Source organism: Homo sapiens, chromosome 12 (assembly GCF_000001405.40).
Source record: "Homo sapiens chromosome 12, GRCh38.p14 Primary Assembly".
NCBI classification, from domain to species: Eukaryota; Metazoa; Chordata; class Mammalia; order Primates; family Hominidae; genus Homo; species Homo sapiens.
This window is the reverse complement of record NC_000012.12, coordinates 100,546,297-100,565,255: the sequence shown is the minus strand read 5'-3', so window position 1 is coordinate 100,565,255 and position 18,959 is coordinate 100,546,297. Positions and strand designations below refer to the sequence as shown.

General features: G+C 41.5%; 1 protein-coding gene across 10 annotated transcripts in view; it reads right to left on the bottom strand.

Moving 5' to 3' along the window:
- NR1H4 (nuclear receptor subfamily 1 group H member 4) overlaps nucleotides 842-18,959 on the bottom strand; it is a 90,549-nt gene continuing 72,431 nt past the window's right edge. For all 10 annotated transcript variants that reach the window (NR_135146.2, NM_001206977.2, XM_047429943.1 and 7 more), the window contains 2 exons: nucleotides 3,258-3,371; nucleotides 842-2,005 (listed from right to left, as the gene is read on the bottom strand). Coding sequence is in view for 9 of the 10 variants with exons in the window: in NM_001206977.2 (NP_001193906.1) it covers nucleotides 1,767-2,005; nucleotides 3,258-3,371 (353 nt within the window). In the remaining variant the exon portion in view is untranslated. The remainder of the gene's footprint in view (nucleotides 2,006-3,257; nucleotides 3,372-18,959) is intronic.

Genomic DNA, 18,959 nt, shown 5'->3' with positions numbered 1-18,959 from the left:
ACAATGGTGAAATTGAGATTTAGAAAGAGACTGTGCATCCTCCCTCCCTCCCCAGATTACGTATCGTCTTTTAACATCTGTACAACTCACCACCTTCCTTCTGTTGCTCCTGCCACCCCTTTCACCTTGAACCCCTTCCCTCCTACCTGGACCCACTGAATTTGGGGCTATCCCTTGAAGCCCAGCAGAAGTACCATCTCCTGTATGAAACTTTCCCAAGTTCCAGGGTAAACCCACAGCAAGTTCCGCTGCAGCCTTTATAACTCCCTCCAGGCAGTTACTGGGTTTTTTTCTTTCTCTTTTTTTGAAGACAGGGTGTCGCTCTGTTGCCCAGGCTGGAGTGCAGTGGTGCGATCATGACTCAATGCAGCCTCCATCTCTGGGGCTCAAGCAATCCTCTTGCTTCAGCCTCCCAAGTTGCTGGGACCACCACAGGTGCAAGCCACAGCCCCTGGCTGATTTTATTCTTTTTTATTTTTTGTAGAGACAGGGTTTCCCCTATGTTGCCCAGGCTGGTCTCAAACTCCTGGGTTCAAGCAATCCTCCAGCCTCAGTCTCCCAAAGTGCTGGGATTACAGGTGTCAATTGGGCTCAGCTCTGTTACTGGATCTTAATCATTTTTGTATCCTCCATGGAGTTTAGCAAATGAATCTTGTACTTACTAGGAACTCAAGACATTTTTGTTGTATCAGAATCCAATTGATGCTAGCCTCAACACAGTTTTCCACTGACTGGTTATTTTTAGAATTCCAGGGTTGTCCTAGTATTTTGATACAAAAAAACTGCTTGCTAATCATGCTCCACTTTGGCTAACTTTAGGAGAAAGGGAGATATACGCCCATTACTTATAGAAGGTGTTTTATTGTATTCACCAAAGGATAATAGGGAGAAGAATGCAACAGTGTAACAATGAAGGAAGGAAATGAACTAATTCCTGCTTTGGGGGAAGTATACAGCAGCTGTGCTCCCAGCTGTAGGAATGTTTTCAAAAGCAAAACAAAACAGAAAGATGATTGGATACAATGAAGCCAATCATTTCCTCACTTTTAAGAGAGGAAAGCGAAGGTCCCATCACTGCAGTTAGCTGCATACTCTGAATTTGTGAATCCTGCCTCAAGACTAACTATGGGGGAAAGGATTGCTTGAGGGAATATTTTATGTGAAAATTGTTAACTTTTCTGTTTGCTATTCTCTTTGAACTTCAAAGAAAAGGAAATGATCAGAGGGCTATTACAAATGAATGACTATTCACCAGGACTTTTCCAGAGATGACAAAAGTGCGAGAGACAGTATCTTTCTGTAAATTACCCCCTCAGATTCAATAGGATGTCTTTCAACATTTAAAGAAATGAGTTTGTATATTTATCAAATTTTGTTCCCAAAGAAAATCCTGTTGCCATTATGTTTGCTTTATTGCCAAGATTGAATACAACTCTTTAATAAAATATATGCAATATGGTAAGATGAGCAAAATGAGATTTTCCCTAGTTCAACAGATAGAATTGAAGTAACAATCAATTTAATTAGGCAAACAGGGCTTGCCAATTAGAATGCAGGATTCCCTGGAGCCTTTTAAAACACAATGTAGAGAAAGTTGTTCTATCTAGCCCAATATTTACAGTTGTGGAAGTTACACATGTAATTACAACATAAATATTCATCAAGATTTCTTGAGTGAAACTGGGTACAAGTGAAATAAAGGAAAGTTATACATCAGATTAATATGAGAGAGAAAAAGGAGCTAGACCCCTCCCCTGTAATCCCCATCACTGCACGTCCCAGATTTCACAGAGAAGTGGGGTAAACTTGTGGTCGTTTACTCTCCATGACATCAGCATCTCAGCGTGGTGATGATTGAATGTCCGTAATTCAGTCAGGCGACCCAGGAGACAGGCAAAGTGTTGAGGATTTTCAGGCTGGTGAATCTTACACAACTTTTGTAGCACATCAAGAAGTGGCTCCTGAAGCTTCTCTACTGCCTCTCTATCCTTTATGTATTGTCTATCTGTTTTGAAGTTTAAAATAAAATGACAAAATTAAAAAGTGGAAAAGCATTAATTCAGCATAATTATAGCAACGTTAACTATTTTGAAGTGTAAGTTAAATGTTGTACACAAAATGTGAAAATTAAGTGTTCAACCTGATGAATTTTTATGCACACACACGTAATTATAACGAGATCAAGATACAACACATGTAATGCTTCCCAGAAGCCTCCCAATTCCCCTTCCAATCAAAACCCCTAAAGATAACCTGTAGGGTGGACGTGAGCATCCTTTCTGTTGAGTATATTCTCAGAAGTGAAATCACTGGGTCATAGGACATATCCATACATAACTTTAGAAGGTTCTGCTGAATAGTTTTTTAGTCACAAGTCATAATTTTTATGGTAAAGCAAAGTAACAACTAGCTTCTGCCTCAAGATAATGTATAAAAATGGCCTAAGGCTAACATTGTTATTATGCTCTACAAATCATGAGCATGGCATCATTCGACACCCAAATTATTAAAGTAACCAAAAAATATAGAAAAAAATATGGAAAGAGGTATCATTTCAACAACCAAAAAAAACTGTTGAAGAAACATTTTCAACATCAAAAAAACTGGAAATATCCTGAATATACAAACATGTGGTAAAGATTAAGTAAATGATTGTATATTCATACAATGGAATATGTAGCACATATTACAACTTTACCAATGTAATTTTTTAATGACTTGGGAAATGACTTTTAGAAGAAATATAAACTCAGAAAAAAGTTCCTTATTATGTTAAAAAGTATGTAATTTCATTTAGATCCCTGCTCCAATGCCACCCACTTAAAAAAAGCCTCCTGTGACCACAAATTAAAATACCATTTTTGTGCCACTCTCTTTCTTTATATTCTCATTATATTTTTTGTAGCATTTACCACCTTCTGAAAAAATATTGTTTCTTCATTTATTATCTTTCTCATCCTACCAGAATGCAAGCTGCATGGGAGCTGTGTCTTGTTGCATCCCCGGTGCTTAGCATCATGGTTAGTACATAGTAGGTGTTCAATATACATTTATTAAATGAATAAGTGTGATATTTTTTAAAAAGACTGAAAAGAAGTGCACTGAAAGGTTAATAATGGTTCTATTTGGATAGCAGAATTATAGGCTACTTTACTTTTTCTTTATATTTCTATGTTTTCCAGATTTTTTTCAATAAACGTTATTACTAGTATACTGAAAAAAATGGCATAAAAATTAAAATGTAACATTGGAATTACCTGGAGACAGGATAACAATTGCTGTAAGCAGAGCATACTCCTCTTGAGTCATTTTCAGTTCCCCAATACTTTTATAAAAACTAAACATAGGTGTTATATATTCATCAGAGATACCTGTGGGGGAAAGTTGCAATCATAATACAATTTTTGAGTGACTAAACAGTGTAAAACTAGAAACACATTATACATATAAACACATGGTAATTTTGCAACTATATGCACACATTCAAATAATGACTATATTATTTTTATTATATGTCCAAAGGAAGGACATTGTGAAGACAATCAGTTGACAAAATTCTCAAAATATAGCCAAAACAATGAGTGTAATGAGTGTATGTCTAATTTTGTCAGTGTCTTTGTTTCAGTCACTACTAATAATCAATGATAATGCTCTTGAATTGCCAAAAGAATCTCAAAAACGTCTCCATTTTCCAGATGGGATTTAGTGAATCTTTTGAATATGACTATCGATAATTAAGGCAGAGATCACATCTTAAACAACTAACAAAAAGTGGTTGTTATTCAGTCTGGAAGTATAGACAGCTTCATTTCTAAATGGGCCAGGGTTCTTTATTTATTTATTTATTTTATTTTTTTTGAGATGGAGTCTCGCTCTGTCACCCAGGCTGGAGTGCAGTGGCGTGATCTCGGCTTACAGCAAGCTCCGCCTCCCGGGTTCCCGCCATTCTCCTGCCTCAGCTTCCCCAGTAGCTGGGACTACAGGCTCCCGCCACCGCGCCCGGCTAATTTTTTGGTATTTTTTAGTAGAGACTGGGTTTCACCGTGTTAGCCAGGATGGTCTTGATCTCCTGACCTCGTGATCCGCCCGCCTCGGCCTCTCAAAGTGCTGGGATTACAGGCGTGAGCCACCGCGCCCAGCCAGGCCAGGGTTCTTATCAAAGGGTTCTGATCTCTTCCTGAAGCACCAAGCCATTACCTACTAAGCATCAGTAATTGGCTGTTCTCTTCAAACCCAGTATGTCCAAAATCAAAGACACCACAGAACTAAGCTCCCCCACGTTTCTCCAAATCCACTTCTTTCCTGGCGTTCCCATTCTCGGTGAGTGGTATCCACACCACTCAACTGCCCAGGCCTGACAACTGAGATTCAGGCACCCAGGCCTGTGGCTTCTCCTCCTCACTCTCACCTGGTGCTCCCTCTCCTCTTTATTGCACCTGGCATTTACTTAATTTAAGCTTCCATCTCTCTTCCTCTGGATTACTGCAGTTGCCTCTTTACTGGCCTTCCTATCTTTAGTTTGATTCCCTTTGATCTATCCCTATCCACGTATTGGTGTGTCCGGAATTGGTGGGTCCTTGGTCTCACTGACTTCAAGAATGAAGCCGCGGACCCTCGCGGTGTTACAGCTCTTAAGGTGGCACATCTGGAGTCTGTCCCTTCTGATGTTCAGATGTGTTCGGAGTTTCTTCCTTCTGGTGGGTTCATGGTCTCGCTGGCTCAGGAGTGAAGCTGCAGACCTTTGCGGTGAGTGTTACAGCTCTTAAGGCAGCACGTCTGGAGTTGTTTATTCCTCCTGGTGGGCTCGTGGTCTCGCTGGGTTCAGGAGTGAAGCTGCAGATCTTCGCAGTGAGTGTTACAACTCATAAAAGCAGCGTGGACCCAAAGAGTGAGCAGTAGCAAGAGTTATTGCAAAGAGCGAAAGAACAAAGCCTCCACAGTGTGGAAGGGGACCCGAGTGGGTTGCCAATGCGGGCTCGGGCAGCCTGCTTTTATTCTCTTATCTGGCCCCACCCACATCCTGCTGATTGGTAGAGCCCAGTGGCCTGTTTTGTCAGGGCGCTGATTGGTACATTTACAATCCCTGAGCTAGATACAAAGGTTCTCCACGTCCCCATCAGATTAGTTAGATACAGAGTTTCCACACACAGGTTCTCCAAGGCCCCACCAGAGCAGCTAGATACAGAGTGTCGATTGGTGCATTCACAAACCTTGAGCTAAACACAGGGTGCTGATTGGTGTATTTACAATCCCTGAGCTAGGCATAAAGGTTCTCCAAGGCCCCACCAGAGCAGCTAGATACAGTGTCGATTGGTGCACTCACAAACCTTGAGCTAGACACAGGGTGCTGATTGGTGTGTTTATAATCCCTGAGCTAGATATAAAGACTCTCCACGTCCCCACCAGACTCAGGAGCCCAGCTGGCTTCACCTAGTGGATCCGGCACCAGGGCTGCAGGTGGAGCTGTCTGCCAGTCATGCGCCCTGCGCTCGCATTCCTCAGCCCTTGGGTGGTCGATGGGACTGGGCGCCGTGGAGCAGGGGGTGGTGCTCGTTGGGGAGGCTTGGGCCGCACAGGAGCCCATGGAGTGGGTGGGAGGCTCAGGCATGGCGGGCTGCAGGTCCCGAGCCCTGCCCCTCGGGAAGGCAGCTAAGGCTCGGTGAGAAATCCAGCGCAGCGCCGGTGGGCTGGCACTGCTGGGGGACCCAGTACACCCTCCGCAGCCACTGGCCCGGGTGCTAAGTCCCTTATTACCCGGGGCCAGCAGGGCTGGCCGGCTGCTCCGAGTGAGGGGCCCGCCAAGCCCACGCCCACCCGGAATTCCAGCTGGCCTGCAAGCGCTGCACGCAGCCCCGGTTCCCGCTCGCGTCTCTCCCTCCACACCTCCCTGCAAGCTAAGGGAGTGGGCTCCAGCCTTGGCCAGCCCTGAAAGGGGCTCCCACAGTGCAGTGGTGGGCTGAAGGGCTCCTCAAGTGCTGCCAAAGTGGGAGCCCAGGCAGAGGAGGTGCCGAGAGCAAGCGAGGGCTCTGAGGACTGCCAGCACGCTGTCACCTCTCATTGGAATGACCTTTCTAAAAATCAGATCACATCACATACTTTCTCTCTACTTCTTACAAAAACCTTCTAAACCTCCCCATGGCTTTAGGCATATAGTTTTAATTTTCTTCCTTTTAACGTAGGAGCCTCTAGGACCTGTCCCCTGCCTATCTAACTATTCACAATAACAATAGTAATAGTAGGAGTACTCATTATGTATTATGCAATATTTTAAGCATTTAATATACCATAATTCATTTAATAGTTCTAAACCCCGTGAGGTAGATACAGAGAGGTTATATAACTAGCCCAAAGGCACTCGGCTGAGAGAGGTGGAACTAGGTTTCAAACCAAAGCTGGCAGGCTCCAAAGTCCTGACAGTGGCTACGGCTAAGCTGCACTCTATCACTCTATCACACTGCCTTTCCTCTAGCCACCTCGGCCACTTGTAGTTCCCTAAACAATTCACATTGCCCAGTTTTTGTACATGTTGTGCTCTCTACTTGAAATATCCCTTTTCTCTTTTATCTAGCTCACTCCTCTTTGTCATTTAAGACTTCTAACCAGGTGCAGTGGCTTACGCCTATAATCCCAACACTTAAGGAGGCCAAGGCTGGAAGATTGCTTGAGCTCAGGAGTTTGAGACTAGCCTGGGCAACATGGCAAAACCCCATCTCTACAAAAACTACAAAAGTTAGCTGGGTGCAGTGGGCACATGCCTGTGGTCCCAGCTACTCAGGAGGCTGAGGTGGGAGGATCGCTTAAGCCTGGAGGTTGAGGCTGCAGTAAGCTGTGATTGTGCTACTGCACTCCAGTCTGTGTGACAAAGTGAGATGCTGTCTCTTTTTTTTTTTTTTTTTTTTTTTTTTTGAGATGGAATCTCACTCTTGTTGCCCAGGCTGGAGTGCAGTGGCGTGATCTTGGCTCACTGCAACCTCCGTCCCTTGGCCTCCCAAGTAGCTGGGACTACAGGTGTGTGCCACCACACCTGGCTGATTTTTTTTTTTTTTTTTTTGTATTTTTAGTAGAGACAGGGTTTCACTATATTGGCCAAGCTGATCTCGAAACCCTGACCTTGTGATCCACCCACCTCAGCCTCCCAAAGTGCTGGGATTATAGGCGTGAGCCACCACGCCCGGGCCAAGATGCTATCTCTAAAAACAAAAACAAAAACAAAAAAAACAGACTTCTTAGTGCCACTTCTGTGCATTGCTTTATTCCACAAGAGCCATTGGATGGAGAATCGTGGTGACAGAAAAACAAAACAAAACCAACACAAAAACCTGTGATGTGACTTATGGATTAATTGAGATGAGGATGTTTCCTGGGATTGGTCCAGATGAGAATAGACTGCTCCATTTCTTCCAAACCAGATCCAGAGTTAAAGAGCTTTGGCTGAGCAAACCAGAATAAACTTTGATTCCAGACGCTAAAGAGTACAATTATCATCTAAGGTATACTTACCAGAAAGCCTAAATTCTCACTGTTAGAAGAGTATCATAAGTGAAATAACTCAGAAGCAGAAAATCAAATACCGCATGTCCTCACTGAACAATGGATACACATGGACATACAAATGGAAATAATAGACACTGGCAACTCCAAAAGGCAGGAGGGTGGGATGAAGGTGAGGGTTGAAAGATTACCTATTGGGTACAATGTTCACTATTTGGATGAGGGATGCGTTCACCAGAAGTCCAAATCACATCATTACACAATATATCCATGTGAAATAGTTTGGATGTTTTTTGCCTCTAAATCTCATGTTGAAATGTAATCCTCAGTGTTGGAGATGGGGCCTGGTGGAAGGTGTTTGGGTCATTGGGGTAGACCCCTCATGAATGGCTTGGTGCCCTCCCCATGGTAATGAATGAGTTCTTACTTTATTAGTTACTGTGAAATATGAATGTTTAAAAGAGCCTAGCATCTCTCTTTCTCCCTGTCTCACCATGTGACATGCCTGCTCCCCCTTCACCTTCCACCATGAGTAAAAGCTCCCTGGGGCTTCCCCAGAAGCTGAGCAGATGCTGGTGTCATGCTTGCACAGCCTGCAGAACCATGAACCAAATAAACCTCTTTCCTTTATAAATTACCCAGTCTCAGGTATTCCTTTATAGCAATGCAAAACAGACTAACGCACCATGTAACAAACCTGCACATGTACCTCCTGAATCTAAAATAAAATGTAAAAAAAATTAAAATAAAATGAATACAAAAAGGAAAAAAATTACTTCTAACATGCATGGACACAGCTCTCATTTTTCTCTATCTTACAGTGATGCAAATGGTAGTAAAAGATCCCGAAGTATGCTAGGATTTCTTCTTTTCAATAATTACACCCATCCCTTCCGTAGATATTTTTCAAATATATAAACGAATTTGATTCTGTACAACAATCCTGTGCAGGAAGTACTGATAAGCCAGTATTACTATCCCCATTTCAGACTTGAGAAAGTAAGGCTCAGAATGGGTAATCTGAGTTGACTAAGTTTACTGGCATAATAAATGGAAAACCCAAGTCTACATTATCTGAATCTTGATCCAACACACATTCCCAAATTGCCTTTGGTGAAACATATATACATGCCACGAGACAGGCCTCTCAGGCAGCTGTAATCATGGGTAACCTGCTTTAAGAAAATCTTAGCTACAAACATTTAGATGAAATAATGGGTAAATAATAAAGGAAGGTGATGAATTATTTTGTACTTTAAAAGAGAGTTGTTTTTTGTTTTTTGTTTTTTTTTTCTTTGAGACGGAGTTTCACTCTTGTTGCCCAGGCTGGAGAGCAATGGCACGGTCTAGGCTCACCGCAAACTCCGCCTCCCAGGTTCAAGCAATTCTTTTGCCTCAGTCTCCCGAGTAGCTGGGATTACAGGCATGCACCACCATGCCCAGCTAATTTTATATTTTTAGTAGATACGGGGTTTCTCCATGTTGGTCAGGCTGGTCTCGAACTCCCGACCTCAGGTGATCCACCCGCCTCAGCCTCTCAAAGTGCTGGGATTACAGACATGAGCCACCGCACCCAGCCTATAAAGAGAATTATACGATTTATTTAATTTTTTTGGATTTAAATTTTGAGCACAATAAATGTTTAAATATTTTTTAAAAAACAGTCTTCCCAAATTAAATCCTTGCCGTTTTCCTCTCTGGTCAAAATACCACCCTCTGCTCCCCTTTGACTTTGATTTTTTAATTGACCCCAGTGGACTCTATTAACAACAATGTCTTTGTTGAGCAATTTGGGGATTACATCATGTGGAAGATTGCCCTTTATCCAGCTGTTACAGAATGAACTAAATACCCATGACCCAACTAGATACAACTTAAAGTGCAGAGGATTGGAGAATGTGAGCCTGGAGAATACCAGTCCTGGCTTCCAGCAAACCTAGTGGTTAAGAGGTCATAAGCTAGCTCTGAGTTTGAAACCAAACTCCACGACTTGGTCTTGGGACATTACTTAAATTTTTTAAGACTTCATTTTCTCATCTGTGAAATGTTGTCACGTGTAATATAATGTGTACTCCATATAACAGTAGTGTTATATGAGATATATAGAGAGTGCTTAGCACAATTCCAGGTTCATAGTAAATCCTCAATAAATGTCAGAGTAGATAATTATAATAGTAGCTATTATTATCATTATTCAGGAGAACTGAATCAACACATTAGTCCATCTTAATTTCAGTTCATCTTAAGTCTTAGATTAAACGTGTGAACTTTTGTCTTTACAAAGCCATGTAGGTTTTAAAAAACCAACAAATTCTGCAAATTACTGGGGATAAATACAAACTGGCTGATCAGTGATTTGCTTCAGTATTTTTCCAGGTATTAAAGCTAAACTAAGTTCTCTATTTTCTTGGTAAGGCTGTTCTTTTTCATCTTCAAAAAAATGTCAATCTTTATGCTTTCTTCAGCATTCAGAGACTACACTCCTCAGTTGTGGTTACCTAAAATAATAATTTATGGCTATGCCATTAAATTAAATAGTACATGAAGATTTAGGGATATTCAAGACAGCTGATTTGAAAATATTAAAATTTTTAGAAATTTCTTTGATTACCAAATTTCCTATTTCATTTGCCTTTCTAAATCCCCACACACCCTCCAGAGATGTTGCCTCCATTAGCTATCTAATTACAATTGATAACATTTGGGGAAAATAAGGTTAAAGTTTTTAAAATGATTATTTCATCTTGTGCATGTTGTAAAAGCCAAGAGTGAATATAGAGAAAATGTAAAAAAGAAATAATGGGAGAGTTAAAAAATAATTTTCCTACAAGATAGATAAATATAAATCTACTTTTGGAATTAGAGTCAACAATCAGAGTTAACCATGCCAACATAAACAAAGGGCTTGTGAACCAGCAATTTCTAACACTGGAGATGTAACACTAACATCATCCTGAAGGGGACAGCCTTTTCCTGTTTTCCTGCTTCCTTCTTCCTGGAGAATTGCTTAAAATTTGCTTCATTTTCGCTTGAATGACCAATTACCTGATTTTTGGTCACAAGGGGGGGCTATTTTCTAACTTAACTACCAAAGACTTTGCCATGGAAAAGTCTGAAAATGCAAAAATAATGTTATGTTTCTGCTCCTGTTTCCTATTTGTTTTCCCTTTTTTAAAAAGAGGTCTGTGATTAATAAATTATGTTCAATGATCAGAAATATTCTTTGAGAGAATAACCATTTGATAGAATTAACACTATACTGCTTTAGGTGTTTTAAATGTTAAAAGTTTTTATTTCCTAATTAGCTTTCTAGTCGTAATTGGGAACAAAAATGAAGCAGGTGTGTGTGTGTGTGTGTGTGTGTGTGTGTGTTATTTACAAGTATGCATATTACACTAGACATATATCCTAGTATCTTAAATACCTCTATATGACTTATTCTGATGACGTCCTCAAGATGGACTGAGCATCTGGTTAAAAATGATACTATTTCCTTAAAACCATGTAACTTGAAACTTTTCTAGAAATGACATCACTCCATAGCACAGAGGTCAAGGTATAAATCCCTGACACGGCACACAAAGCCACATCTGCCTTCTGCTTTCCTTTCAAACTAATCTCTCAGCAGCCCAATAGTTTCCCTAGGAACTAATAACACCGATTCATCTAAGGCTCCTAAAGCTGATTCAGCTTGTTGCCTGCACAGGCTCCCTTCCCCCTCCCTGCCCCATGGCCATACACTATGGTAGAGGCAAATCCCAGCTCCAGCCCAAGGTCCAGCCACTGTTGGTCTCATTTCCCACATCAGAGGTTGGTGTAGTTAGGGACAGCAGTGAAATTTGGGCCCATGAGACTAAAGGGGAGTCTACTGGGAAGTTCCTAAGAAAGATTTCCATACTGAGGAAGACAGCATTTCTTTTTCCTTTGACCAGTGTTGTGCCCAGACATAGTGCCTAGCACTGCTGTGGCCATTAGATGACCAGGAGGAGAACCAGCCTGTGGGGAAGGTCAATACGCCAAGGATAGCAAAGCAGAAAGATGAGATGGATCTGTGTTTCCGATGGTGGGTTCTGCCCCTAAATTAACCAATTCTGCTGTCACCCTTCCTCTGGGTTTCTTGTTTGAGCTCATACATTTTCTTACTTTTTTAGGCCATAATGAGTTTATTTTCTGTAGCTATCGGCCAAGAGCATTCTGACAGCTCCCCTAACAAGTGGGATACACTTTTTATGTCTTCATGCTTTTTCCTGAAATACAAGGCAGGATCCCTGTTAGACTAAGGCACCCCATCCATGGTTCAAGGCCAAGTTCAAATTTTGCTTCCTCTATGGAGCTTTCCCTGTCACAGAGAAGCAGAATTAGTTACTTCCTTTTCTAGGTTCAGTTCTATTGCAACTTATCACAATTCATATCTCTCCTTCTCACTGGAGTGTGAAATACCATATACATTTTATAAGAGTGGGAATCGGCCGGGCGCAGTGACTCACACCTGTAATCCCAGCACTTTGGGAGGCCAAGGCGGGCGGATCACAAGGTCAAGAGATCAAGACCATCCTGGCTAACACGGTGAAACCCCATCTCTACTAAAAATACAACAAATTAGCTAGGTGTGGTGGCACGCGCCTGTAGTCCCAGCTACTCAGGAGGCTGAGGCAGGAGAATTGCTTGAACCCGAGAGACGGAGGTTGCAGCGAGCTAAGATCGCTGCACTGCACTCTAGCCTGGGTGACAGAGCGAGACTCCGTCTCAAAAAAAAAAGAAGAGTGGGAATCAGTTACTGTTATCTCCAGTGGCTGCCATGCTGCCTGACCCATAAAGGGTGCTCCATAGATTTTTTTTTTTTTATGACAGAATCTGGCTATGTCACCCAGGCTGGAGTGCAGTGGCACAATCATAACCCACTGCAGCCTTGGCCTCCTGGGGGCTCAAGCAGTTCTCCTGCCTCAGTCTCTTGAGTGGCTAGGACTACAGGTATGCACCACCACATCCAGACATTTTATTTTTTGTAGAGACAGGGACTTGCTATGTATTCTAGGCCGGTCTCGAACTCCTGGTCTTAAGCAATCCTTCCACCTTGGCCTCCTTAAATGTTGGGATTATGGGAGTGAGCCACTGTGACTGGCCAGATATTTCTTATTCACCTCTGCATCTCTAATAACTAGCATCCTTCTGAAGACATAATAGGAGATTAATAAATGCATGTTAAATCAGGCAGTAGTATGTTTTCGTAGTTCTTTATGATGAAGGTGACATAGTTGTGAGATGTGATGGGGACAAGGGATGCCATTAAGGCAATGGACATATTCTTGTGGTGCTAAGAGATTGGACTATGTCCTCTATTTCAACTGCTAAACTTTCCCCAGGGAGTCATTTGTGCCATACTCTTGGTCCTAAGTAAACAGCTGCCATCAAACTAGCAATTCAAAAAAGAACTACTTTAAGTATAAAATATTTAATTTAAAATATATAATACATGATATGCTTCCCATTAGTCCTAGTGGCTAAAAACTATCCGGCCTAATTAGGTCTCACCAGGGCTTAGGAGTTACCAGAGTTTGGACTGTCAAGTTCCAGATTCAACTCAACAAAATTCACCAATATTTGTATTCCTGCTATGTGTCAGGCACTATATTAGTGCTGGGAATCTGGGAATATGAAGTCCTCAGGCAATTAACAGGTTAATGGAAGAAGCAGATACAGTTAACTCTCTGTGGGTTCTGTATCCATGGATTCAACCAACCACAGATCAAAAATATTTGGGAAAAGTATTGCAACTGTAATGAACGTGTACAGACTTTTTTCTTGTCATTATTCCCTAAACAATACAGTGAAGCAATTATTTACATACCACTTACATTGTATTAGGTATTATAAGTCATCTGGAGGTGATTTAGAGTATACAACAGGATGTACATAGGTTATATACAAAGGTTGTATTTTATATCAGGGACTTGAGCAGCCATTAACTGGTATCCAAGAGAGATCTTAGAACCAATCCTCTGTGGATACCAAGGGGCGACTTGACATAAATAAATACATAATATCTAAAACCGAGCAAGTACAAAAAGCTTGGGAAATACAGCTGAGGAACAATGGATTCTGCCTAGGGGCAATGGAAATAACCTCACTTGTATTTCTTTAATGTTTCCTCTTAATCCAAGGAAGGTTTCTTCCTATAATTTGAGTCCTAAATTTGCCCATGCAAAAGTTAGCATGTGACCACTTTCAAAAGCAAAAGTAGAGGTGTTAAGATTTCTAAATTTAACTAAAGCATTTACCCTTCTTATAAATAGTCTATCATTTGTTTCTTTACATTTCTAACCCCTCTCAAAGACAGTATCTGAACTGATAATCAGCTTAGATTTGCATCTTTGGAAAACATAGTTCTGGTAACTGTTTTCATTTTGTGCAAGCTGAAAAGGCTAAAGCAGTGAAATCATATAACAAAAATAAGCACAGTATATTTTAGTATGGTACTATTAAGGGCTACAACTTCATCACCCTAACAAGATTATCTCCTTTCTCTGACTTCATTGTCTATTCATTTGATCACTGACTTAAAGCAATTTGAAATTGCTAACAACTGCTTATACTTTATCTCTCAACTGAAGGGCAGAAACCATGTTTTACTTTATATTCCCTGCTAGCAGATAGTTGGGCAAATATTAGAAATTGGTGAGTGACAGATGCCACATATAGAAAGAGTGCTGGGCTCTGAGTTAGAATACCCACCTTAATTTCCTCGCACTCTTTTGATTAGCTGTATGAACTTGAGCAGGTCATCTTGCCTCTCTAAGCCCATTTCTACATCTATAAAATAGGATATTTTATAAATAACACTCACCTAGTGAGGGCCATTGGGAGCAGCACTAACAGGATAATGCATGTGAAAACAAAACATTGCAAAACATGAGATATATTGTCATACTGGTAAATTCTTACTGAATTGAATATTTTATTTATGTCCCTTGTGGGGATGGAAAAAGGCCCAAAACTACTATAAATGTCAGGGATTATTTATATTTGAAATGGACAGAACAAGTTGCTTTGATCTCTGAGAGGTTATTGCTAATTTCCTTAATGTTAAAATGTAAACTTGGGCCAGGCGCGGTGGCTCACACCTGTAATCCCAGCACTTTGGGAGGCTGAGGCGGAAAGATCACCTGAGCTTAGGAGTTTAAGACCAGCCTGGCCAACATGGTGAAACTCCATCTCTACTAAAAATACAAAAAATTAACCGGACATGTTGCCTGTCGCCTGTAACCCCAGCTTCTCAGGAGGCTGAGGCTGGAGAATTGCCTGAACCCAGGAGGCGGAGGTTGCAGTAAGCCCAGATCGTGCCATTGCACTCTAGCCTGGACGATAAGAATGAAACTTTGTCTCAAAAAAAATCAAAACAAAACAAAATATAAACTCATTCAGTGTTAGCAAACCTATTTCAGTCTATAATATTTTATATACTATGATTATTCCTATTTTTATTAACAATTCCAACTTAAACCCCTAGTTTGTAAGTAATGGTACATTAGGAATAAAATCAATGATGCACTAGAATTGTATAGAAACAACTCAAGCACAAATTATATCAGATATACGTTCTAAAGCCTCAATTAACATAAATACTCTAATTCTCATTAAAAGCATCTCAGAGACAGTTATCTTTGTGTATGTGATTGGGATTTAATAACAGCAAACAAAAGAGTATGAATTTGAAGAACAAGAAAAGAGATTTCACATCATATTCTTTAAAGAGTTGCATAGGCATAAACAGAGTAACTTTGAGCATTATGTTACTCTGGAATTAAATGTATAATAGAAATAAGAATGATTGTATTAGCATAAGAATAAAAAGTTAGTCTGAAAGGTCATCTTGCGAGATCAGGTTTTTATGTGTTGTGTGGAAGAGGCAATGTTCTGAAAACCCACTGGGAGAAGGAAATTCATAAATATTAATAAATGAAAACATTATAGATAAAATATGCAGCAGCATGTGAGTTTGGATGGTTTTTATTGTCACAATATATGGTTGATATTTGGAGAAAGTATCTTATTATAAACTAGAAACATGCATATTTATTTATACAGATCATATTCTGGAAAACTTCATTCTTTAGCTTTTCTGAAACTTGAGGTATCACAAGTTCTGAAACTTATGAAATTACATGGAAGATTTTTTTCTTTTTGATTATATGCATTCTAACCAGCAAGACCCTCATCATTTCTCACCCAGTTATTGCATTAGTAGTTCTCTTTACAGGTCTCTTGTCTCAAGGTGTGATGAAGAAGTTAAGTTCTTGCCAATGGAATGCCAGTAGAAGTTATGTGTAACACTTCAGGATTATTCACTTACAGGGAAGGTGTGCCATTCTTTTTCCCCTTTGCCCTCCCTACTTGCTGGAATGTGTTTTTGTTTGTTTGCTTGTTTTTGAGATGGAGTCTCACTCTGTTGCCCAGGCTGGAGTGCAGTGGCACTATCTGTGCTCATTACAACCTCTGCCTCCCAGGTTCCAGGGATTCTCCTGCCTCAGCCTTCAGAGTAGCTGGGACTACCGGCACATGCCACCATGCCCGGCTAATTTTTTGTATTTTTAGTAGGGATGGGGTTTCACTGTGTTAGCCAGGATGGTCTCAATCTTGTGACCTCGTGATCTGCCCACGTTGGCCTCCCGAAGTGCTGGGATTACAGGTGTGAGCCACTGTGCCCGGCCTGGAATGTGTTTTTACCAAAATGGTGGGGAGCCATACTGGACCAAGAAGATGAAGTCAACTCTCTGTGGATGGATGAGCATGACATCCATCTGTATGGATAGAACTATGACACAGAGGGACACTATGAAGATTCCCTATCAGTCCCATTCTCCTCATGCCCAGACTAGTATAAGATAGAAATACATTTCCATCTTGTTTAAGCACTCTTTATTTTTTGTCTCTGTTACAGCAGCCAAACCTCTAACTTAAATTATGCATGAAATCTATTGTGATTAATTCTTTTCAAATATATTTCCCCTAGAAGATGAAGTCCTTGAGGATTATGACTTTATCTTATTCATCTTTGTACCGCCAGTGTACCTATCCCATAGAAGTACTCAATAAAAGCTTGTTAAAAAAAAGTAAACAAATAAACAAATACAGGTCCTAATGGAAATGATCTTCCATTGCTACCGGATAGTTGCCCTACAGGCAGAGTCAAATGAAAATGATAAGATTCGAAGCTAAGTGTCTCATCAAGTGAGAGGAGGGAGGCTAATGAGCCACCACCCTGAGAAATATGAGGAGATATTCTGATGAGAGATGACATGAGTCAGAAAGCCTTGCCTGTTCTGAAGGTTTAGGGGATGCAAATCATCTCTACCCTACAACTGATCATCAGAGGTATTCTTTTTTTTTTTTTTTTAATTGAGATGGAGTCTTGCTCTGTTGCCCAGGCTGGAGTGCAGTGGTGCAATCTTGGCTCACTGAAACCTCCGCCTTCCGGGTTCAAGCAATTCTCCAGCCTCAGCCTCCTGACTAGCTGGGACTACAGGTGCGTGCCACCATGCCCGGCTAATTTTTTATATTTTTAGTAGAGACGGGGTTTCACCATGTTAGCCAGGATGGTCTCAATCTCCTGACCTCATGATCCACCCGCCTCGGCCTCCCAAAGGGCTGGGATTACAGGTGTGAGCCACCGCACTCAGCTCATAAGTATTCTTCAGGCAAAAAACAAGTGTTTATAAAGTGCTTAATATAATAAAAAGAGGAACAGGGCCGGGTGCGGTGGCTCAAGCCTGTAATCCCAGCACTTTGGGAGGCCAAGGCGGGCGAATCATGAGGTCAGGAGATCGAGACCATCCTGGCTAACATGGTAAAACCCCGTCTCTACTAAAAATACAAAAAATTAGCCAAGCATGGGGGCACGCCCCGGTAGTCCCAGCTACTTGGGAGGCTGAGGCAGGAGAATCGCTTGAACCCAGGAGGCGGAGGTTGCAGTGAGCCGAGATCACGGTCACTGCACTCCAGCCTGGGCGACAGAGTGAGACTCTGTCTCAAAATAAATAAATAAATAAATAAATAAATAAAACAAAGGAATAAGACAATTGCTTCTGTTGGAGGTAGCTGATTTGTGACAGAGAGGCTCCAGCAATATGTGGCAGCCAGAAATCATGGGAGCCCCAAGGTGTAACTGCCTGACTTTGGTTTTGGAAGCTTTTGTGTCTTCACGGCTAGAACCACACCACTTGCCTCAACAGGTTTCAATTCTGACCCAGACTCAGAAAACTCTGGGGAACTCTGTGAAGTTGTGCATACCACTTCAGGATTATTCCTTTAAAGGGAAGGTGTGCCACTCTTTTTCCCCTTTGCCCTCCCCACTTGCTGGAATGTTACCAAAATGGTAGGGAGCCATAGTGGATCATGTGGATGAAGTCAACTCTCAGAAAACCCTGGGGAGCTCTGTGTGCATCTAATTCTAGGAACTTGGCTCCAGCTTTGTTTCTTGTGACAATCTCTGTCTTGACATATTGACTAAGCTCGGGGAGTTCATCTTTCTCTAAGCTTGATTACATTTCCTTGAAGCTGGGGTTTGACCACATATCCTTGAGCTCCAACTCCTATGGCATGTTCTTGAAAGACACCTTTTCTCAACAAAGTTATAGTTGAGAATGAGTGGGAAGAGATGTTGGAAATTTGAAGAAAGAGAAGGTACAAGACAATTTTCCATAAGTATAAGAGTGAATTGGCTAGAGAAAAGGGATACATGGAAAGTACTGAGGTCCACCTGAAGTGTTTGATCACTAACTTTGGGTAAGCCAGTCATACTGTTTCAGTTCTCAGGCTCAAGCACAGAGTAGGTTAAGAGTCGTACTCAGTCAGGCAGAGGGTTTTCTTAGGTGAAAGAAAGACAAAGAGTTGAGGATATCTGGTGAATGATCTAAGGAAATGATCATATTGATGAACCACGAACTCTAAGCCAAGTACTGAGGAAAGTGTGGTCAGGCAAAAGGAAGTAGAGTCAATGGCTGGAGGGTTAGTGGATGGAGGGTCAACAAATGGATTTTTGATTTTGTTTGTTTGTTTGTTTGTTTGTTTTTTGAGACAGAGTCTCACTCTGTCACCCAGGCTGGAGTGCAGTGGCACGATCTTGGCTTACTGCTGCCTCCACCTCCTGGGTTCAGGCAATTCTCCTGCCTCAGCCTCCTGAGTAGCTAGGATTACAGGTGCCTGCCACCACGCCAGGCTAATTTTTTATATTTTTAATAGAGACAAGGTTTCACTATGTTGGCCAAGCTGGTCTCAAACTCCTGACCTCGTGATCCACCTGCCTCAGCCTCCCAAAGTGCTGGGATTACAAGCATGAGCCACCGCGCCCGGCAATGGACGTTGATTTGGAACAAAGAATCCCTAGAGTCAGGGTACTGGAAGGTGGCAAGCTGGAAAGTTAGAGAGTAATATCAGAGGGAACAGATACTTGGGACTGATATTTTGTTATT